Source organism: Homo sapiens, chromosome 20 (assembly GCF_000001405.40).
Source record: "Homo sapiens chromosome 20, GRCh38.p14 Primary Assembly".
Taxonomy (NCBI): Eukaryota; Metazoa; Chordata; class Mammalia; order Primates; family Hominidae; genus Homo; species Homo sapiens.
In genome coordinates this window covers 41,060,198-41,084,657 of record NC_000020.11, presented here as the reverse complement: position 1 = coordinate 41,084,657, position 24,460 = coordinate 41,060,198, and the positions used below count along the sequence as shown (strand labels likewise).

At 38.2% G+C, this 24,460-nt stretch overlaps 1 protein-coding gene across 1 annotated transcript in view, besides 1 other annotated feature; it reads right to left on the bottom strand.

The window, feature by feature from the left end:
• The window catches only part of TOP1 (DNA topoisomerase I), a 95,666-nt gene that overhangs the window by 39,830 nt on the left and 31,376 nt on the right, over positions 1 to 24,460 (bottom strand). The window contains exons 3-8 of the mRNA NM_003286.4: positions 23,168 to 23,264; positions 8,364 to 8,487; positions 7,021 to 7,076; positions 4,478 to 4,573; positions 3,418 to 3,493; positions 90 to 196 (exon numbers count right to left, since the gene is read on the bottom strand). Coding sequence (NP_003277.1) covers positions 90 to 196; positions 3,418 to 3,493; positions 4,478 to 4,573; positions 7,021 to 7,076; positions 8,364 to 8,487; positions 23,168 to 23,264 — 556 coding nt within the window. The remainder of the gene's footprint in view (positions 1 to 89; positions 197 to 3,417; positions 3,494 to 4,477; positions 4,574 to 7,020; positions 7,077 to 8,363; positions 8,488 to 23,167; positions 23,265 to 24,460) is intronic.
• Positions 354 to 1,973: a mitotic recombination region, noted in NCBI's record as "NUP98-TOP1 recombination region recombines with the NUP98 intron 13 (TOP1) recombination sub-region of the nucleoporin 98kDa recombination region". NCBI's record gives the evidence for it as "EXISTENCE:nucleotide sequencing assay evidence [ECO:0000219][PMID:12874791, PMID:10959088, PMID:11979559]".

The following is a 24,460-nucleotide window of genomic DNA, read 5'->3' as shown; positions in this document are numbered from 1 at the left end:
AGGATATTAATTTTAATAACTCAATACTCTTGCTTCGTAAGGATATGCAATAAAAAAGGTGGCATTTTAACCCAGTGCTGAGATGTTACCATTTCCACTTCTGTTCCTCTTCTTTCTTCGGCTTCTTTTTCTTGTTATCTGGCTCAGGAACTTTTTTATCTTTATCTTTATTCTTGGGTTTTTTCAATTTACCATCCTACAAAGAAACATGGTGAGAAAGCACTTAAATAAAGACTGATCACACTTCTGGAGGCAGTTTTTGGGAGCCATGAGGAAGAAAAATTGTAATCATAGAGTATTAGAACTAAAGAAGATCTTAGTACTCCTCTCATTTGACAGATGAATAACAATGTACTGGTGCTCTGTTCTACAGCAGTATTTCCTAAAATTTCCTGACAAACAACTACTTGAGAAAGTAGTTAAAAAACACTCTGCAGGGGAAGAGACTGGGAAACTTTTTTTTTTTTAACCTCAAAGGAGTTTGGAAAAGTACTGCTCTAGAGAGTAATCCGAGTGTATTTTCCTCACTTATGTTTAATCCTACTCATCTTTAAACCTCTTCCAGTACAATCAAATAACGGCTAGACGGGGCTTTGCATTAGATATTTAGTATTCAGGATGAAAGAAAATTCCCAGTTGATTTAGTGGAGTATAGTACTATCGCTGCTGCTTGTATACACAAAGTCATGATGCAGTAAGCAAGTATTTGATAGGTTCTAAAATGACACCAATTCCTATGGTGGTATTTCTTTATGGCTCTTCTTTGAACTCTGAATGTAAATGAGCTGATCACAGTGACACAATAAACGGGCATCAAACCTAAACAGGCACAATTCACCAATACAGGAGATGAATCTCAAAACATACACACAAAACCCAAACAAAAATGTAATATTCAACAAGTGAAGATCCCACTCAGAATCTGAACTCTTTTGAAGAATATTTTCCTTTGTCCTGCCTATTCAACATAATTTAACTACTTATTCAGTCTTTATTCAACAAGTTTTATATAGCAATGAAAGGTGGTTTTGAACCATCTTAAAATCAATTAAAGAGTGGCACAGCTGGAAAGTGTATGGATGGGTTCATTTAACCACTTCCAGTTACAATCAAGGACTTTGAAACATATTTTGTCACTTGATCAAGGTCATATAGCTGTTATTAACTATGATAAGAGCCTAACTTTATGAGAAAAATAACAGAATGTGACTTATGGGAATAACTGGAATAAACATTTTAGATCCTCATAATAGGATGGCAATCAAGATAGGAATAGAAAAAAGAGGAAAGCTTACAGTACCATCCATATTTTAAAACAGGCACGGAGAATATAAATATGTGGGTATGTTTGGGAGAAGGTACTACAGGATCACATTAATTCAGATAATGTTTACTATTTAGGGTGAAACACACCACAGGAAAGGGAAATGTTTTTCAGTGAAGATACTCTAAACAGCTTCTGAGCAGGCATCCAGCTGGTCCCATCAGGAAACTACTGGCTACATTGTATGTTTTCAAGCCTCAAATTGGGGTGTCAGTCACTAAGAGACCTCAGAACAATTCTCAAAAACAAGAGAAAAAAACAAAAAACAAAAAAACTATAGTTGGCGAGTGAGGTTTAATGACAGATTCTGCCATCTGGGGTCCCTGCCACAGTAAGATTGTATTAATTCAGTCTTTCAGCCAGCATTTTTCCCCCTATGTGGTAGGGCTGCTAAATAGAATAATAACAAATGAAGTCAACTGTTCTTTTTTCCCAATGGTTTAACAAACTCAGAGTATTATTTTTGCATAAATGCAATATAAACATAAAAAAAAAACACTTGGAGAACTCAAGTTTTATATTCCTTTACTGACTAGTCTGTACTGATTTGGTATATGCAAGTGGAGTGATTGGCTACCATAATCACTACTTAACATTTCACTCTCAATTCCTTGAATTAGTGCTTATTAATTTGAACTTCGGCCAAGAATAGACTAGTTGTCAAAAAAACGGCAACCTTCTAAATTCAGGACCTGATCATCTCTCTATGGCTCAACTCACTCACTAATGGTCTTCATATGATTTCATTAAAGACCTTTCTTCTCCCTCCTTGCAGAATTAGAGCATCAGCAAAGTCCCAGGGGAGGTAGGATAATATAGTAGCTGGTGTGCTGGCACTGAAGTCAGACTGCATGGGATCAAATGCTGGCTTTTCCACCTTAGTAGCTATGTGACCTCAGGCAAATGATTAAATATTTCTATACTCTATTTCTGCATCTGCAAAATGGAGATGATAATAGGGATGTAACAACCTATTCAGGTTGTAAGGATTAAATGAAATGATACATATATAGAAGAGTGCCTGGCACATGGTAAGCACCTATTACATTTAATTGTGATTATTAACATCATTCTATTATGATAGATTATCCTCTTAAGACTCCCTGCCCCTTCACTATCATTCTCTTTACTGCTGGTACTTCAAACTGTCCACTTTACATTTGTGATCCCATTTTGCCCATGACAGTGGCTAACCTCAAATGTAGCATAAGAGCTAAGAACTCACCCAACCCCTTCTTGTCTTAGGGGAGGGCATCATTAAGACCCCTGTGAATTTCTGACATCTTTTCTTGAATTACCTGCTAACAATTTTTTGGTACAAGAACTCAAAAGTGTCAAAAGGAGGAAGCATATGATTCTATTTTCAATCTACCACAAGCATCAACAAGAACATTTAGGAAAGCATTTAAACGGAACTGAGTTTTTTGAGGAAGGTTATAGGCCAAAAGGATAAAGAAGGGAGCATGTGTGTTCCAGATAGAGGAACAGCAGGTGCTACGTAAAGCTCGGAAGTTTGAAAGAATCTGGTGTGGAAAAGAAACAAAGGAGGCTAGTGTGACTGGTACAAGTAAGCTAGAGAAGAGGCACAAGATGAAGAGAGACACAAGATGCAGGGGCCAGATTGGGAGGAGCTGCAGTAAAGAGTTTGGGTGTCAATTATATGTCAAAGGGGTACCCATTAAAGAACTTTAGATAGGAATGGTTACCTAAAGTGAATGATCAGCAAAAAATTCTTAGGGAAATTTCTTCAGGGTTATAAGCCAAAATGTGGTTTCTTGTTAACACTGCCTCTGTATATATGAAGATGACATAGTTTTTGGAAGAACATCTGTTGGCAGCCTAGCTGTGGGTAGACAGACACCCAGGAAGGCTGAGAGCAGAATCACTGCTGGTTGTGGTTAACTTAAGACACTGTGGGGATTCACAGAGATCTTAAAACTACCAGTGCCACAGCCACCACTTATTAAATTTGTTTTCCCTAATGTTATAACAAGCCAATAAATATCTAAAACTCATTTGTCTTAAGAAGTTGCTTACTGGAAAACTCCCACTTCCAAACTCAAGCCCCAAAGGACCTAAGTCTCTTTACTAACCTCTTCTTCTTCTAGTTTTCTTTTCTTCTCCTTCTTGGTATCTTCTGTTTTAATTTTCTTAGGTTTATAATCAGCACTAGAAAGGGGAACATGAATACACAGTTAACATAATTATGATTCAGGAGTTCTCACTCATAGGAGACCTACAAACTCTTGGATGCCTCCATGGCAAGAGTAATCACTGTTATTCTTGGCTGGGCATTCTACGGTCAAGACTAACAGAAATAGAGAAAATAATGAAGGTCAGACCAAAGAGTAATAGTTATAGCCCTATATAGAACAAAACAAACCACTTACACCGGCCTGGAAGCAAAATAGGGTGGGGGGATATATGCAGAAATAAATATCATTATCAGATGAAAGTCTGGGAAAAAAAATAAAATAAAATAAATAAAAATAAAAGATGAAAGTTTGGGAACCAAACACACAGCACACTAGCTACCACATAGCAGTAACTCACTGGAATGTGGAGGAAAGAAATTCTATATTGAATGAATACAAATGAGTTCACTAAGTATTTCCCTTCTCCCTTTCCATCCAATTTCTACTATAACAATAGCATAGTAAGCTATATAAGAGTGAAAATAATGAATATAATTTAATCTCATTGAATCTGGGGAAAGAGATACATGTAAGCCTCGACCGTTTTATGAGCAGTTTTATTATTTTTACACACTGAAACTTCACTTAGAATGTCTGACAGGAATAGGTCTAAGAGAAACTGCTTTAAGTTATCTGTGGTAGGCAATAAGAAATTTTAAGTAACTTAAATAATTTATTCTTCATGAATTCTGTATTATTTGAAATTTCTACAATAAATATCTATTGCCTTTTCAGTAATAAAAATTTATATAATCTTCATGTAAGCCTTGGGTATACTACTTGTTTAGCAAACTCTACTTCTCATAGTTCAGAGAAATCAGTCCATTAATCACAAATTCCAAATGAGTAAAAGCCAATTAATGCAGTTTCTATATGTATTATAAAGAAACACATCACATTTATTCTTTAAACTCCTCCTTTTTGTTTTCAAAAGTCAAAGTTTTAAGAAAATACTCACTCATCCTCATCTCGAGGTCTCTTTAATGGCTTTATATCCTCTTTAGGAGGAACAAAATAGCCATCATCTTCAGGTTCATCTTTAATTTGTGGTGGACTAAAGAGAAAAAAAATTGCTGGTCAGAGTGCTAGAACATCTGTATTCTATTAATACAAAGAAGGAATATGTCATTTCGTTGAAAAGAAGCTAACAGAAATAAGGATAACCACGTACATATCATGAAGATGTTCTGTGAGCACTTTTTCTCACTTCAATCCTGTGAAGTAGATAGTATTTGTCCTCATTGTACAGGTGAATGGGCAATATCAGGATTTGGGATCAAGACTCTTTATTCTAAGTCAGAATTCTTTCTCACTATTTCTTAGCTATCTTTGCCAGCATGGCACGAACCACTCCAGAAATAAACCTAAGGTGTTTTCTTGCCTTACATGGAAACCTACCATATATTTGACCCCACAATCTGAACTGATTGTTCCAGTACTCTAAAAGCTAAAGTACAGCTTTTACAAGGAAAGGAATAAACATTGATTTCCCCAACTTAGTACCTTAAAGTTCTAAAAATGTGGCAATAACGTACATGTATATCTAGCTACATGGAAAAATAACCAAGCTGACAACATTACAACAAAAGTAGGGCACGTGTTAAACCAGAATAAACAGAAGGTATCCTATGCCAAATCTATTCATTGTTCAACGTCCTAACTTAGGTTTACTTTATATACAGAAGAGTGTCTCACTACTATTTGTTAAGATCTTACCTTCAAAATATAAATATAAAAAGACAATCCTTTGAGACAAACATCTTGAACCAAAACAGAGAAGGAACAAGTAAAAAACACCATAGAGCCCAGCAATCACTGCAGCCATGGGATGCTCCCTGGCCTGGCACATCTCTTCAGAACCTCACTGCCTTAACTTAGTACAAGAAATGGCCTCCTTACATGCAGCTGCCCCCTGTGGAGGGATCCAAGGATTAAGAATCCCGACCCCACTGCAAAGTATATTCACAGGGTTTCAAGAGTACCTCCGACCAAAAAAAGCATACTGGGTCCCCTTGCTTGTGATAGAATTTGAATGTTTAAAGAACTTATTTTAGCACCCTAACCAAATGCCAGCTTCTACAGCTGTTCCCCCTCCTGCCTGAATACTGACACAGACCCTAGGGTCCAGAAGGAAAGAAAGCCTATCATTTACCCAACTAGTTAAGTAAATGCTAGATCCTAAGTTTGTCACACTGAAGACAAAAACTGTGGGAAGGGTTACTTAGGTCTGAAGGAAGAAGTCCTAAAACAATTTACCTGAAAACTGTATTCCAGTGAAGCATCTGGATTCTCTACAAAGACATATACACAAGCCAGCAAGGAGTCCAGCAAAGTGAACATAGAGACCACTGCCTCAAAGAAGGCTGTGTTCCTAATCTTCTAACCCAAAAAGTCTGAAAATGAATTCATGACTATGCACCAAGTCCAAAAAATTTATTCATATCAGTTTAATAAAAATCCAAGGCAGTCTCTTGGCAGAGATTAGCCCAGCAGTGCCTCCTCAGTCACTTTATCTCAGAAATCAAAATTCCTAGGGCAGCTTGCAGCTCTAATGCTTCCTGAATTGTATTATTCTGCATTCCTAGAACAATTATGAAACATGCCTGAAGAGGGCACCTGCTTTTCTCCTTGTCTAAAGGACCCCAGAGTACCAGGCACAATTGTCAAAAATTTTAACAAATGAAACTGAAAGTTCAAAGATTCAAGGAAGCAAAACTCTCAAAGTGTTTTGTCCCAGTCAATAATGCAAACACTTACAACCATTTCTAATAAATCCTTTCTGTCATTCAGTGAAGTGAGAATATGTAACAATAAACATCTAGTTGTTTCGAAACTAGAGGGGACCTCTGGGCTTATTTTAGGAAATTGAGGCTGAGGAAAACAAAATTATAAAGGTAAAAACAGTATAGGAAGTAACCTCTAGATTTTGCGCATTTTCCTCTCCTTCTAGAAAAGAGATAACATAATTCTACCCAAATCTACACTCATCCCTAACATGTAGGTCAAATGATCTTTTATATATAAGCCTCCCAATATTACTAATGATGAAATCAGACTAAGTGATTTTTCAGAAAACTCCATAATCGCTACTGAATATGAAGTTTCTTTTTAGAGAAATGAAAATGTTCTGGAATTAGTGAAGAGGCTGCAATACCTTGTGAATATACTAAAAAAAAAAAAAAAAAAAAAATGGTACACTGTATACCATTAAAATACAAATTTTGTGATATGCAAGTCAAATCTCAATTTTTAAAAATCTCTCCTGTCAACCTTCTCTATTCGAAATAACCTTCTGGAAAATGTGCTGGTCAGTCTCACTATATGGCACTGTAGAAAGGCTCAGGTTGGCTTAGACCGAGTCTTCTCACTGCTGAGCTTCTGGGAACCATCAAGATGGCCAGGTCAGTGGGTTTTGGGTTAACTCAGACAACACTACAACACAGGCAGCTGGCCTGCTGTCCACCCAGAGAAAGGGAAGCCCACGCAGCAGCAAAGTCTTACCTAGAGAAGCCATTTTCCTTCTCCTTCTTTATTTTTGCATCCCCAGAGGCTCGAACCTGAAAAGTAAAACAACAGTAACTAGTACCTTGAAAGGACTAAATTTGAAGAAACCTCTTTTTGAGAATATGTAGCATCAGTTCCTGGGACATCATGATCACAAGCTGGCTCTTATGTTACCAAAACTGAACAGATGAACTAAAGGTCCTGAAATGTGTCCAAAACTCGTTTTTAACAATTCTTCTGGGTGAAACTGTCCAACTCACTGAGAAAGGTTTCCCTTAAAAATGGCAGCTTTTTACTTTTAAGTGGTGGCAGGTCTCTTTTCCCCAATAAATACATTCCACTACTCAAGAATTTGCCATTGGCAGTGCAGAGAGGAAACAAAAGCAAAAACCAAACAAACAAAACATATAAACTGGGCCAGATGTGATGGCTCATGCCTGTAATCCCAACACTTTGGGAAGATGAGGTTGGAGGACTGCTTGAGGCCAGGAGTTCGAGACTAGCCCCGCCAACACAGTGAGACCCCCATCTTTATTTAAAAAACAAACAAACAAAAAAGTAGTCTATGCCCTGTCTTCTATTACTTAGGCAAAGTATACTCATGACCCCCTCCCCTTTGACTTCCTGCTTTCTAGATTCGTCAGAAAATTTATCTTTCAAAAAAATCTTCATATATACACACAAAGGGATACACACACACATACAGATATACAGAGTATCTATGGAAGAATACAAAACATAATCAGTATAGCGGTTGCCTCTGAGAAGGATGGGAGACAGTGAGTCAGGGGTGAAGAGATGTCTTCTTCACCATATTCCTTATTTCATAGTATCTGAATTTACCAAGTACAAAAATTACTTTTTCAAAGCTAAAATAAAAACAATCTCTTTTTAAAACTATACAGAGTACTATTCATTCTCAGCTGGGTGAGCCTAGTCATTTTTAGAAGGCTTGCACTGGTTATGCTGGAACCAAATGCCACAAAAGACACCAGCATCACTAAATTTTCACTCGGGAAGAACCTTTAATGAACAGAAGACCATCAAGGCATTAGGCCTTCTCCCAAAAACAATTAATTTTCCCTAATGCATTCTCAATGTATTCATTGGCAATATAAAGTAAAAAAGGTAATGATATGGACAGATCTGCCACTGTGAAACATATGGTGGTAAAAGGCTTAGTTTTTATAGTTTAAGACTACAGTTTGCTCTAAATTCTCCTGACAAGAAACCTTTCACTTCAAGACCAAGGGATCTTACTATGCAATTAAGATATCTGCTTTCAAAGGTAAACAAAAGTGCATCCACGTTCCTTCCTCCCCTACTAGAAAACTCTGTACCTTTTCCTCTTTTCGTTTTTCCTTGTCTCTGTCTTTATGTTTGTCTTTATGCTTTTCTGAGCTTCCATCTTTGTGTTTGGTCTTCTCCTTCTCTTTGTGTTTCTTTTCAGAATCTTTATGTTCACTGTAAAAAGTTAAGTCACAAAGCGTTAGCCCAGAGTAGGGACCACAAGGATTCGTTTCACAAGATATCCTAAGATAACATGAACCGTGGAAACTTACAGTACTTAAACAAACAGTACCGACAGAAGGTTCAAGTAGAGGGTCTTGGCTACATCGGACTTTATCTTGTTTGATGTTTTTATTTTTGCAAAGAACAGAAACCATCATTCTAGACACACCAGGACATTTTTTTTAAAGTGACTAAGAATACACAGCCAGCCCTGTGTATTTCTGCAACATTCTACCAGCACAAAAACAATAATGAAAGCTCCAACTTCAGCATTCATATCTGATGTGAGCAGGTTAAAACCAACTCACCAAAAATGTGTTTGGTGGCTTTGTGCCAGACTTGAAACATACCACACATGTAGCCAAGCCAGGGTTTATGGAGTAAACAGCCCAATACAGTGGATATTTCCTTCTAGTTTTAACTAGGCAAGTTAGTCACTTCTAGATGGGACTTACGTTAGCCCTTTCCTCACAATAAGAAAAGACCCATCTGAAAGCAAGGGCATAGGAATGTTCTTTGTTAAAGGTTAAAAAGCAAAATATGACATTATAAGGCAAGAGCCATGAAAATGTTCATAGCTTCTTACCCTGGGATCAAGCTCCTGGAAATTTATCTTAGGGAAATAACATTACATATAAAGATGTTTATTTTGGGCTGGGCGCGGTGGCTCACGCCTGTAATCCCAGCACTTTGGAAGGCCGAGGCAGGCGGATCACGAGGTCAGGAGACTGAGACCATCCCGGCTAACACAGTGAAACCCCGTTTCTACTAAAAATACAAAAAATTAGCCGGGCGTGGTGGCAGGCGCCTGTAGTCCCAGCTACTCGGGAGGCTGAGGCAGGAGAATGGCATGAACCCAGGAGGCGGAGCTTGCAGTGAGCCGAGATAGTGCCACTGCACTCCAGCCTGGGCGAAAGAGCGAGACTCTGCCTCAAAAAAATTAATTAATTAATTTTAAAAAGAGGTTTATTTTGGTGCTTCCCTTAAACAACAACAACAACAACAGAAAAAAACAAAAACGAACAAACAAACCCCAAAATTGGATACACCTAACAAGAGGGGAAACTGTAATATATCAAATTATTTAACTGCTAAGCTATAATTTGAGTACCACAAACACATTTGGAAAGTGTTTATGACAGAAAAAGGAATATAATAAAATAACTGCAACTATGTAAAAACATGCATGTGGTCAAAGACTAAAGAAGCAATAAGCAAAAACCACAAGTTGTAGTTTAAGGTGAGAGAACACTATTATTTTTCAGTACACTGGGACAGGCAGTTAAGGAGCCTTGCTTACTGCACTAACCAATGCACAGGAAAAAAAGACTTCATCAGCAATGAGCTCATTAGGCTATGTCCATCCCATGAAGTTTGTTCTAAAGGGACACTTGACTACAGTAGAAGATCACAAAGGGAGAAACAAATGATGGCATGCAGTTAGGCAGAGCAACAAAATCTAGATCAGGAGAACATCTGCTATTACACCCTGCACACAAAAGTAGCTACAACTTGAGATAGGTACTTGAGTGATGAATAGGCAGAAACTTTAAGAAATCTAGCCAGGGAGAAACAGGACACACTATAGGTTAGGAAAGACCCAAGTATTGAAATAGATGGAGAAAAAAAAAAACAAAACAATGCCCACTTTCCCTTGCTTACATATTTCTCCCTCTATATTGCTCTCATTAGACTGTTATTTACATGTGACACACATTTAAATAACAAGTTTCTATAGGAGGAAAATTCTTTTTAACTCATGAGAACAGAGCACACTGGATTTGCATGGTTACAAAATTTCTCCACCATGCTTTTTGTTCTTGGAATCAATATGATGTTCCTCTAACTCAATGTGTTCTCATAATCTGTGTTTTTTACCAAAATGCAATGTTTTATTTAAAAATGTATCCCTTCCTTACTTTGTTTAAAAAAAAAAAAGTCTTCCAATTGCATTAGCACTCCTATTATCTGTTCTCATTAACTTCGCCAAGCTTTAGAATGAATGGTCAAAGAGCAAGGTTGCTGAGATTATAATTGATTCTTCAGGAGTTAATGTATAGGTAATCACAGGCACTTGGTTTTTATACTACCAGCAAAATGTTTGAGCTTACCATTCCATTATAAAACCATGGTAGTTTTGTTTTATTAAGCATCAACTGTAAGAGGGTATACAGTCATCTATACAAGGTTTTGCCTAAAAGCAAAACATCTGGGAACAATTGCATCTATAATATTGATGGATGAATATACTGCCTCCCCCTGCCCTGCCAACTATAGTGGGGGAGGGGATGGCAAAACAAAATTCTACTTTCTAAGCAAGCATTGTACTTGGTATTTTCACATACATTATTTCACTCAATTCTCACAACACTCCTGTGAGGCAGGTTTTATTATCTATCCCCTCATGCTGATACAAACAGGAGACAATGGTTAAAAGACTTCTCAAAGTTGCAATGTTAAAAGAAAAGCTGGGATTTAAACTTAGTATTTCCACCTCCAAGTTCAGAGCAGCCTCCACTACATATCAATACCCTTATATTTCCACTAAATTGATACCTACTGCTTAAGGTATACTGGTGTTAAGAAACAGCCATGGTGAGTCTGAGACTTGCTATAAGGTCCTAGCTTTATTTTACCATCGAGGAGAAACTTTCTAGAATAAAGATGTTTGGATACCTGAAAGGATAAAAACCTTTGGGGTTGCTTGTTTCTTTTCTTTTCTTTTCTTTCTTTCTTTTTTTTTTTTTTCATTGTCTTCCCATGAAACTATAAATGGCTAATTCAGGAATCTGAATTCAGGAACACTCCATCTTCCTTTAAGTTCCACCTTCCCCTGACCCGTTCTCTTTCTCAGTGAAAGCATTTCTTAGAATGTTAGCCATTTTCACTAGAAAACTGGCTTTCTGAGCCTTTTGGCAATCACAACATAGGTACCTACAAGTGTACATGTAGCCCTGCGGTTTTCAGCTTTGCTGTACATTATCACACCAAACAGAGATCAGGGAAAAGGAATCAACAAATGACAAGGCAAATGAGACATTTGCCAGGAAGCCAAAAGTCAACGATATTTCCTCTGCCTGCTAACCAGAAAGAGATGTATATAGGAAATTCAAAGTTCCTGCTAGAGTAGTAAACCCCTTTGTAGGTCACAATTAATCACAAAAACCAGAATGGGATGAAGCTATCATCCTGACTTTCCAAAGGAAGCCAAGTCTCCTCTACTCCTAACTGTTTAGGCATAAGAGCAGATTTGCATTTTTATACTAGCTGAATACAGATGATTGAGGGTTAAGGACAGCTTCTATTACAGGGCATTACATTGGAGACTGTTAGAAATTTGGGTTTATAGAGCTCCACCAGGCTTCTGAATACAATGTGATCATCCCTACTTGTCAGGTGCTGTTACCGTCCCTGCCTCCACAAATGGAGAGCAGAGTGCCTGGAGCCCAACCTGGCATCCATAACCCCCAAACCGGCAGGAGTGCTGGCAAAGAGCAAACCCCACTGCCAATCTTTCCTAGGAATGTGCCTGAAGGAAGTAGCAAAGGCGCTGGGGAACAAGTCCTATGATACAGAAGCATGTCCAGGGCTGTGCCAGGAAAGTCAGAAACAGGATTTGGCCAGCATATAAAATGGAGTCAATGTGGGGTCAGTCAGGCTGACTCATCCATTTGAGATTTTCTAACATGTATGTCTTTTTCCAAAAGGCTTAGGATATGTTTGACTTTCATGGTAGCTAAAGAACTGTACTTTCCTCATTAACAGTGAAATGATGGAAATTCTGACCAATGCAGAAAGTTCATTTGCTGGCTGCCTGTTTTAAGAGATACTGTATTATCTTCATACTGATCCTGCTACTTTTCCATACACAATAGACACAATATGTCAAAGTCACAAAAGGGCTTTAAAAGTACAATTGTAGGCTATAATATTAGCCAGGTTAGAGGCTGAAAAACAGATGATTAATTACTGAAGAAACTTCAGTAGGGCTAAATTAGAAAAATGCTAGATACCCTGAAAGGATAAAAACCTTCAGGGTTGCCTTTTTTGTCTCCCCATTTTGTCTTCTAAGAGTAGAAGAAAGGCTTAATATCAACCATAGGAAGGAAACCAAAGGTTGGACAAACATATTTTAAGAGTAAGTTTAGTCTGGGATATGCTGAAGGACAAAAATACAGACAGTAGCAGTCCTAGAACTTCTGCAATGGTCACACTTATGGATGAAATATGAATTTACCCCATGGGCATGAGGAACTCTGAACGAGAAAACAACCAATTATTGGCTAGGCATAGATGCTGACTTCTTGGTTCATAGTTTGCATCTGTATGGGGTAAGATTCCAACACACTAGCAGGGACTAGAAAGCAAAAGTCAGCGCTAAAGAGAACAAATGGAAAGATCCAAAGCCACCTTTCCAGAGTGTTCATGCCATGTGTTATGCTTCAATTGGCTGAATTCCACTAAAGAAAAAATAATCTGGCTGGGCGTGGTGGCTCATGCCTGTAATCCTAGCACTTCAGGAGGCCGAGGCGGGCAGATCACCTGAGGTCAGGAGTTCGAGACCAGCCTGGGCAACACAGTGAAACCCCATTTCTACTAAAAATACAAAAATTAGCTGGGCGTGGTGGCACATGCCTGTAATCCCAGCTACTGGGGAGGCTGAGGCAGGAGAATCACTTGAACCAGGGAGACAGAGGCTGCAGTGAGCCGAGATCACGCCACTGCACTCCAGCCTGGCGATAGACTGAGGCTCCATCTCAAAAAAAAAAAAATTTAAAAAAAGGAAAGAAAAAAATAACTTACACTATTTTTAAAGTGATGACAGCAAAACCTTTGGTCTATGATTCTTGTTGGAGCTAAGCAGACCACAGAAAAGGGTGACCAGAGTTTCTCTAAGGCACTTATATAGAAGAGTGGGAGAAACGGTGGAAGTAGGGAGCCAGTAGGGAACAATGTCTCCCTTCTGGCGAAGCACTGTTTCTTTAGGAAAAAAGACCACCGCTACCACAACAAAATACTGATATTCTGGAAAGCTAGAATGTTGGCTATGGGAAACCATTTAAATCTGTCCTCTATCCCCCATAAAAGTATTTAACAGATACTTGAGTAGCACCCAGTGCCAAGCACTCATCTAAGCACATTTGATATCGGTAACAAAACTCAGGTAACTACTGGTATCTTCATTTCACAGATGTGGAAACTGAAGCACAGACAAGTTAAGTAACTCACCCAAGGAACTACCTCTAAAGAGAGAAACAGGATTTAAACTCAGGCAGTCTGGCTCCAGGGTCATGCACTTGACTACTCTGTTACTTCCCAAACAAAGCAAAAAAGCACTGTTAAAGGTAGAAGGAGCCTCCACATATTCTGAGAAAAGGACTTAGCCACTAACAGCCCAGCTACCTGTCTACTCCTCAAGGCAGCAGACCTCTGCAGGTCACATGAAGTTGGATCATGGGGATTCCTGTGAGACAGCACAGAGAGCTTCAAAGTCTTGGTTTAGGAGGGAAACTCATGACCCTTTCAAGGATAGTAGACAGTTAAATCTTAAATGATATTTGTTAAATTAAATATTTAAGTAACTTCAAAAGTTGCCTCTGGGAAAAGAGCGCAGCTTCTGAAATGAGCCAGTTTCCAAAAGGCACTAAGAAACAAGGGTTCCTTAATGTCCATCATCATTACACACTACAATGCCGATTATATATCTCTAAACAAAATCACAAGGACTCCGGCGTTTTATATTATAGAAGTATCAAAACTTCAAGGTAAATGTAATTTCCTAGAAATTATTTAATCCTTTGTTTTCAGGCCAGAGAGGATAAAAGGATGTGCCCAAAGATGGCAAAACCGATACCCATTCTAACTCCCATTCCTCCCTTAAGTTCTTTGTCTCTATTAATAGCGTGAACAGCCACCCAGTTATCCAAGACAGGAACCCTTTTTCTTAGACCCTTCATGTCATTTGTAGCTAAGTCTTATATCCACTTTGCTCAAGTATTTCCAGTGGCTTCTTGCTCAGCTCAGAATCGAGTCCCAACATTTCCCCCCGATTTTTAGTTAGTGTAAGTAACAAGTTCCAACTTTTTGAAATGGCATTTAATAGTTTTGCCTCAAGCCACTTTTTTGGGTCTCATTTTCTACTATTCCACCCTGTGTAACCCACCTAACTAGATTCCTCCCAGAACAAAGCATATACTACAATGCCTCTATGTTTTGCTTATGTTTTTCTTTCTAACCATTACTTTCCGTTAGCAAAATTTTAACCATCTTTGAATGGCTAGCTCAAATGCTGTCTCCACCATGAAATCTTAAAAACAATGATTATGGCGTACTATGATAGGGATAAATATAATATTGAAAATATCAGGGCTCCAAATTGAATGCTATCAATAACTACTGAATTAGATTCAACTACCAAACTCAAGAGCTCCAATTTATCTGCATGATATTATACTAGGCTTTGCGGTAATTATCATCATCACCATCATTATCTCAATTATTTAGTATGTTACAGTTCCCAAAGAGCTGTCATGTGCATAAACAAACTTGAAAGATTGATAAAGCAGGTACTGTTATCAACCCTTGACCAAAACAGAAAATGAGACCCAGAGAAGTTAAGCACCTTGGATCACGACACGTAGCTTATAAATGACAGAACCCAGCCTCTTAACTTTTATCTTAGTGTGCTATTCAATATATCATACTGACTCCCATGTGAATGGTGGTGGTACTGAGTTTCCTCATTTCCAAACTGTTCAATCTTCTCTGCCTACCCATGTTAGTTGTCCATTTCCCACAGACAGGATGATATAGTGATGTGTAGACAAAGGGAGGGCTTTGGCAAACCACTCACAAGGAAAGCAGCAAACATATCTTTTAAATTTTATTAATTTCAGAAAAATCTCCCCTAATCTGAGAACTAGATGCGTAATTCAAGTGCATATTCCTAAAATCCTACATTCTCTCAATTACAATTCAGGTAGGATTTGGAACTAAAAGGAAAGCAGAAGCCAAAAGCATCCTTATTCTCAGATGTTTCTCACACTGACAGTACAGAATAGCACTGCCAATATGGCTGGAAAAGTACTTCCCTTGCTATTTTACAGCAGTTTTCTGTCTTCCCTTGCTTTCCACAAATTTGTCACTCCAGTGTGAATGCCAGGTTTAAAATTGGCAAGAGATGCACAGAGTCGAAAACTAGGAGGAATTTCATTTCACACGATTCTCTTATTTTCTAAAATCAAGCCCCCCTCCCAAATTGCTTTTAATAATATTCTGTTTATACAAGAGATCTACTATTAAAGATAAACAATGGATAAGAATGTAACCCTTTAAGAAAGGTAGCTCGTGAGATCCTACAAGCTACGTAATTCCTTGGCATCTAGAAGAGTATTCCTTTTGAGATTATTTATGTATTTTTTAAAAGAGGGCCGGCCATGGTGGCTCATGCCTGTAACCCCAACACTATGGGATGCCAATGTGGGAGCCCAGAAGTTCCAGACCACCCTGGGCAACATAGCAAGACCGCCATCTCTATTAAAAACAAAAAAGTTAATTAACCAAGCATGGTGGTGCATGCCTATTGTCCCAGCTATTCAAGAGGCTGAGGTGGGAGGACCCCTTGGGCCCAGGGAGGCTGCAGTGAGCTATAATCACACCACCGCGCCCAAGCTTAGCAGTCAATGAGACCCTGACTCCAAAAAAAAAGAAAAAGGATCTGAGGAGCAAAATATTAACGCTAACAGAAAGAAGCAGTGTCAAGAGATAAGTGATGACTGATGAAATTATCTTCTAACTTTGGTGTGAGCTGTTCTTGTCATGTTACAGGCCAGACAAGAGAAAGACAGAGATGAAGTTTTCATAGGTTCAGAATTTGATGACATTAATACTTTCAGTGCCAAAGATTTCAGGGATTTGGGGACAAAGAGAGATAAAGGCAGTGCCTGAGGTGATCTGACATTTTTAAACCTGAGCTGCCTACCATATGCATACAAGTAAGGGGTGCTTGTATTTAAACAGACAGTTTAGCTACAAAACTAACTCTTTTTACACAGGGAGGTATTTTTCACTGGAAGGAATAATGTAGTGGGGACTCAGGATCCTTGGTCTCACATCCTCTTCTTTCTGCTACCACATCACTGTGGGACTTAGAGCATGTGACCTCAGACTCCTGTCCACACAAAGAGAAGACAAGATGAAATGATTCTTAATACCTACTCCCTTGTTTTGCACCTTGCATGAGGACAATAAAGAGGAAACCAAATGGCATCTTCTGGGATGTGGATCCATAGCCCCATTTTGTTTCTGCACATAATGGCTACTCTCCCACTCCAAGTCTGCAGTATTGCTACTGCACAGGACAGTAAATGCCTCCTGGGCTTGGGTCCTAAGTATAGCCTGATGACAAATGATTGGTGCTAATATCTAGCAGAGAAGGAAGGGACACAGAAACACATCTGAAACACTTGTTTTCTCCTAACAAATGGCCACAAAATTAGCTACAATTGATTAGCAAGGATTGGAATAAATGAAAGCATTTTGGAACAGAACATGCTAAATACTAATTATTCTGGGGTTCAGATGTGATTAAATAATCCCCCAGATTTCTTTAATCTGCTACAGAAGAAATCGAAGAAACCCTAAACTATTTAAAAAGATCAGAGGTACTTTAAAAGGATCACAGTGTATATAAAATTTTACTGGAGGCCGGGTGTGGTGGCTCAAGCCTGTAATCCCAGCACCTTGGGAGGCTGAGGCAGGAGGATCACAAGGCCAGGAGTTCGAGACCAGCCTGGCCAATATGGTGAAACCTCGTCTCTACCAAAAATACAAAAATTAGCTCGGCGTGGTGGCAGGCGCCTGTAAGTCCCAGCTACTCGGGAGGCTGAGGCAGGAGAATCGCTTGAACCCAGGAGGCAGAGGTTGCAGTGAGCCGAGATCACACCACTGCACTCCAGCCTGGGTGACAAAGTGAGACTCCATCTCAAAAAAAATAATAAAATAATTTTACTGGAATATAACCAATATCCTTGCTTTGTTGCAAAGAGGTACTGTGTCAGTAGACATCAAAACAAGAAGTACTTAAAAGTTTGCTTACAACAGATCATCTGATTAAACTGTTAAAATTTACTCATGTGAATAAGAAACCAAGGGCTAGATTTAGTCATGTCATATGTAAACAGAAACTCGGGCCAGGTTTTTCCAATAGCTCTTGGCAAAAAGGCTTCTATTTTTATAGGAATGAAGAAAATATTAAAAGGCACAGAAGTGGCCAGGCGCGGTGGCTCACGCCTGTAATCCCAAGACTTTGGGAGGCCGAGGCAGGTGGATCACGAGGTCAGGAGATTGAGACCATCCTGGTTAACACAGTAAAACCCCGTCTCTACTAAAAATATAAAAAATTAGCGGGGCATGGTGGCGGGCACCTGTAGTCCCAGCTACTCGGGAGGCTGAGGCAGGAGAATGGCATGAACCCGGGAGGCGGAGGATGCAGTGAGCCGAGATTGTGTCACTGCACTCCAGCCTGGGCGACAGAGCAAGACTGTCTCAAAAAAAAAAAAAAAAAGAAAAGAAAAGAGGCACAAAAGTACATACAACAAATTATTGAATTTACCTACAATATGATCTTGGAAAAGTATGCTTTTAAATAGATGTAAAAGTGTCATCTCTGCACATCTGTAGAGCAGTTCACAACTGAAGAGCTTCTATATTTATTGACTCCCATGGTTCCCCTGTGAAGCATGTATCAAGATGAAGATGAAGAAACTGAGTTGAAGAAGGTTAAGTAACCTAGCCAAGATCACGAGACTTAAATGGATGTACAAGGATGAGGATTTCTTCTAAAAAAATCACATCCCTTTTTTTTTTTTAAGAGAAGATTTTTGTAAAACAGGACAGGGCCAAACTTATATGTCTCAAAGCCCTTTATGTCACTTTTACTGTATCTTTCCTCCCAAAACAAAGTAGAATGTGTTAGAGAAGATAAGTTTTCAAAAGCTTATGTTTTAAATATTAACCTCTTTCTTCTTAAAGTCTTTTGGAATTTCTTCTTACAGCCTAGTAATATAAAAATCAACATTCTTCATCTGATCTGTAAGCAGGTCTCTCACCTCCTCAGATGATACTGTTCACGGTCAAAGGTTATCTAATTTTTTTTTTCACACCACATCAATTAGCACAGTAAAAACATAGCAGGCAGCCACCCATTGTTGGACATGATCTAGCAATTCTACTCCTAGGTATACACCCCGGAGAATGAAAGTGGAACTCAAACATGTATTTGTAGCCAAAGGGTGGAAACAACCCAAGTGTCCATCAACAGATGGATTTTTTTAAATGTGATTACAGGCATACAATGGAATATAATTCAGTCATAAAAAAGAATGAATTTCTGATACGCTACAATACGGATAAACCTTGAAAACATATTAAGGGAATATAGAACAGATTTAAAAAAGATAAATATTGTATTATTCCACTTATATGAAGTACTTAGAATAGGCAAATTCATAAAGATAAAAGGTAGAAGGGAAAGAGAAAAAAAGACAAAGTAGAAAGATATTGGGACAGGGGAACAGAATGAAAAGTTATTATTTAGTGAATTCAAAGACTGGGATGATGAAAAGTTCTGGAGATAGTGGTGACAGTTGCATACTATTGTCAATGTACTAAATGCTACTTTAAAACAGTAAATTTTGTTATGTTTATTTTACCACACACAATTGTGTGAAAAATGAGATAAGCCAAAGTGACTTAATAACTATCCTATAGAAGATTAAGAGTACGTGAGAAGAAAGAGAGATGGGAATTAATGTACCCATAGATCATCCACTCATTAATTCAATAAATATAGACTAGTAAGTGCCAGCTATCTGCCAGGTACCATACTAAGCCTGAAGGATGCAAAATGAATACAAAAGGCTGGGCGTGGTGGCTCACACCTGTAATCCTAGCACTTTGGGAGGCCAAGGTGGGCAGATCACTTGAGGTCAGGAGTTTGAGACCAGCCTAGTCAACATGGTGAAACCCTGTCTCTACTAAAAATACAAAAAATTAGCTGGGTGTCGGGGCACGCACCTTAATCCCAGCTACTTGGGAGGCAGAGGCAGGAGAATCACTTGAACCTGGGAGGTGGAGATAGCAGTGAGCTGAGATGGCACCACTGCACTCCAGCCTGGGCAACAGAGTAAGACTCCGTCTCAAAAAACAAACAAACAAACAAACAAAAAACCAGCCCCCCGCCCCACCCCAGAAAAAACAAAAAAGATCCCAATTCTGCTTTCAGGGACTTTAGAGTCCAGGAGGCCATAGGGAAAAGTAAAGACACAATTAAATATAATAATTATTACACTAGGAATATATTCAAGGCACCAGAGAGCACACAAAAGTGGCATTTAATATGAGAAGGAGGGTAGAAAGGATACCTGGAACAAGTCAAGTCTGAGCTGCAACTAAAAGAATGACAGCAAAGGGGCAAGAGAGTATTACAGAACCAACAGCATGTTTAAAGGCTTAGCGGCATCAGAAAACATGCTATGTTTAAGGAACTGAAAAGAAGTTCACAAGACCAAATATGGAATGTGAAATAAGGATAAACAGCAAAACAGGTAGCAGAGAAAAGACAGCCAAAAACTGTTAAGGAATGACTGTGCATTAGAAAGAGGTGAAAAAGGTGGCCAGAAAGATGGAGAGGCATGGAAGCATTAAAGCCAAAGAAGATGGTTTAAGGAGAGTGGGGTCCAAAGTATGAGCTATTTTGGCACATTTCGTGTGCACTTAAAAAGAATGTATTCTAACATCATGGTAATGGTACAGAAACACTAACAGCATGGTAATGGTACAAAAACAGACACATAGACCAAATGGAACAGAACAGAGAACCCAGAAATAAAACCACACACCGACAGCAATCTAATCTTCAAGAAAGTCAACCAAAATAAGCAATGGGGAAAAGACTCCCTATTCAATAAATGATGCTAGGATAACTGGCTAGCCATACGCAGAAAACTGAAACTGGACCCCTTCCTTACACCACATACAAAAATCAATTCAAGATGAATCAAATACTTAAATGTAAAACTTAAAACTGTTAAAAACCCTAGACGACAACCTAGGCAATACCATTCTGGACATAGGAACGAGCAAAGATTTCATAGCAAAGATGCCAAAAGCAATTGCAGCAAAAGCAAAAATTGACAAATGGGATCTAATTAAACTATCAACAGAGTTAACAGACAACTTACAGAATGGGAGAAAATATTCACTAACTATGCGTCTAACAGGTATAATATCCAGAATCTATAAGGAACCTAAATGATTCAACAAGCAAAAAACAAGTAACCCCATTAAAAAACAAGCAAAAGACATGAACAGACATTTCTCAAAAGATGACATACAAATGGCCAACAAATGTATGAAAAAATGCTCCACGTCCCTAATCATCAGAGAAATGCAAATCAAAACCACAATGAGATATCATCTCACACCAGCCACAATGGCTATTAAAAATCAAAAACCAGCAGATGGCTCACAAGGCTGCAGAAAAAAGGGAACACTTATACACTGTTGATGAGAATGTAAATTAGTCCAGCCACTAGGGAAAGCAGTTTGGAGATTTCTCAAAGAACTTAAAAAAACAACTACCTTCTGATCCAGCAATCCCATTACTTGGTATGTATCCAAAAGAAAACAAATCATTTTACTAAAAAGACACATGTACACACATGTTCACTGCAGCTCTGTTCTCAATAGGGAAGACATGGAATCAACCTAGGTACCCAGCAATGATGGATTGGATAAAGAAAATGTTGTACATATCTACCACGGAATACTATACGGTCATAAAAAAAGAACTGAATCATGTCCTTTGTAGCAACATGGATGCAACTGGAGGCTATTATCCTGAGCAAATTAAGGCAAGAACAGAATACCAAATACCACATGGTCTCATTTTTAAGCAGGAGCTAAACATCGGGTGCTCATGGACATAAAGATGGCAATAATAGACACTGGAGACTACTAGAGCAGAGAGGGCGGTAAGGGTTGAAAAACTAATTGTTGGGTTCTATGCTCAGTACCTGGGTGACAGGATCATTTGTACCCAAACCTCAGCATCACAGCTATATACCCAGGTAACAAAGTTGCCTATATGTACCCACTGAATCTAAAATAAAACCTGAAAAAAATTAAAAGCGGAAAAGTAGACAGAAAGAAAAGAGAAAATTCTAATATTGTTGGATGGGAAAAACCTATAAATGTCGATTAGATCAAGTTGGTTGATACTGTTCAAGTCTTCCATATCCTTAATTATTTTCTATTTGGACTAAAAATTATTGAGAAAGATAGTAAAATCTCTGACCATAATTATGAATGTTTATTTCTCTTTGCAGCTCTATCAGATTTACTTCATGTATTTTGAGGCTGTGACGTTAGTGGATAAACATTTATAACTGCTATGTTCTCCTAATGGGTCCCTTTTATCATTATGCAATGAACTTCTTTATCCTTGGCAATATTCTTTGCTGTACGGTAGATATTAACATAAGCTAGACAACTATAAACTAGAAAAGATGTAGAGTAGATTCAACTACTGAGATTAAATTTACCAGAATAATGAAAATGGAAACTAGATGATCAAGTGATAAGAGATAAGTGAGGGATAGGGAAAAAAGGCCACAGGCATGATACATGATTCCCAAAGAAATGTCCCCAATAGAGAAAATTAAATCTGGTTATTTTAATGATTCGCGAAAAAGAACAGACTTAGAAAGCAATTCTCACTTTAACTTGTCTACAGACAATCAGACAAGTTAATAAAGAAGTTCTAAGAACTCTACAATGGAGACACTTGTTCTAATGTGTGACAGATCTTTACATTCCCTAACCTAGCTCAGGCCACTATGGGAATGGGAATACCATATGGCTTTCTCACCAACAACTGTCTTTAAATCAGAATGGAAGTACAAGTCCTCATTTTCAATAACTAGATTTAACCACTTGCCTCCTACACCAAAAAAATGGGAGCAAAATGAACAAAAGAAACATCTTCTTGAGGCTTGCATCCCAAAAGGCAGCACTATTGAGTTTCATTCATATTGGTGATTGTAGGCTTTTGTGGGAGCCGAACTCCTCTGATAACATGATGAAAGCTACAAATAGTCTCTCCAGGAAATCTCATATACTCAACCATTTGCATATAATTTCAGGGGCTAACAGACCATGGAAGCCCAAGTTAAGAATTTTTAATGTAAACTCTTTAAAATATAGAAAGAAGAAAAAAAATCAGGTCTCCAATCCAGTTACCTTTTATCAAGGCAAGCTTGCTACAGACTTGATTAAATGCCATCATGTGTCACAATGAATCCTTACCTATCTTAGTGAACAACTGTATTTTTAATGAGGTATATATTAAAAGAAAATTAAACATACTTGCTTTATACATCTTGATCTGAACAATGGCATCCCATTTAAGGCCTAAATCATGGCCATCCTCATAGCAACTCTAGGATCAAATACAGTTTCTACTTACTTTGCTATCTTTACATGTAGCTCAAGTTAAGACCTATTCCAGGTAAGCCAAGCAATGGCCAACCCACTGCTGAATGATGAGGGACTTGCTTGATTCCACCCTTACCTGTTGCTATGCTTGGACTTTTCCCGGTCCTTCTCCTTCTTGTGTTCTTTGTGCCGGTGTTCTCGATCTTTGTGTTTATCTTTGTGTTTATGAGAATCTGCAACCATAAGAGATGAGTCAGTTAACAGGAGTCATGAGCTATCTTCTGTATGCCTACCTTGACAAGCTGGTCAAGAAGTACAATGACAGGATTCAAATGGCATGGTAGGCATAATAGCACATGCCACTGAAAAAAAAAGCTTTCACAAAGAAGCCCAGACAAAGCTCCCATTAGCCTGCTTCTACAATCAAGACAAGTTACTAATATGGGGAGGATAAGGAAATGAGAGCCAATTATTCTGTGGAAAGAAGCCACAGTTTGGCGTTTTTCTCCCTAGACATAATACTATTAAGCCTGACCTATAAATGATAACAAAGGGATAGTATTGAACACTGACTCTAAAGATCAGATGTTATAACTTCTGAAAAATCCAAACCTCAACAGATGTTTTTAAATGAATGTTAATAAGGTGTAATGTCTAAACAATAAAATACAATCAGCCCTCCATATCTACAGGTTCAGCACCATAGATTCAACCATTTGCAGACTGAAAATATTCAAGGAAAAATAAAAATAGTAATAACAATACAACCAAAAAAATACAAATCCCCCCACAATATAACAACTATTTATATAGTTACACTGTATTAGGTAATCTAAGTAATGTGGTGGTGAGTTAAAGTATATATAAGGATTGTGTAGGTTATATGCAAATACTGTGCCATTTTATATACAAAAAAACTTGAACATCTGCAAATTTTGGTATACTAGGGACAGGGGGTGGGGTGGTCCTGGAACCAATCCCCTACAAATATTAAGAAATAACTGTAATAATAAACATTTCAAAGACACCCACAGGTGCAATCCCCACTACAATAAAGATTTAGAACAAGTCCATCATCTCAGAAAGTTTCCCTCGTGCTCCTTCCCAGTCATTCCCCATCTTCCACCCCTTGCCCAAAGGAAGCACTGATCTGATCGTGCTGTATATTAGATTTGTCTAGATTTCTAGATTTCATGTAAATAACATCATATAGGATTTATTCTTTTTGTGTCTGATGTCTTTCTCTCAGCATAACATTTGTGACATTCATCCACATTGTTGGATATATCAGTTGTTGGTTCCATTTTATTGCTGAGTGGTGTTACATTGTGTGGATATACTGTAACTTACCCATTCACCTGCTGGACAATTTAGTTGTTTCCAGGCATTGGTTATTATTTATCTGCTACAAACATTCATATACAAATAT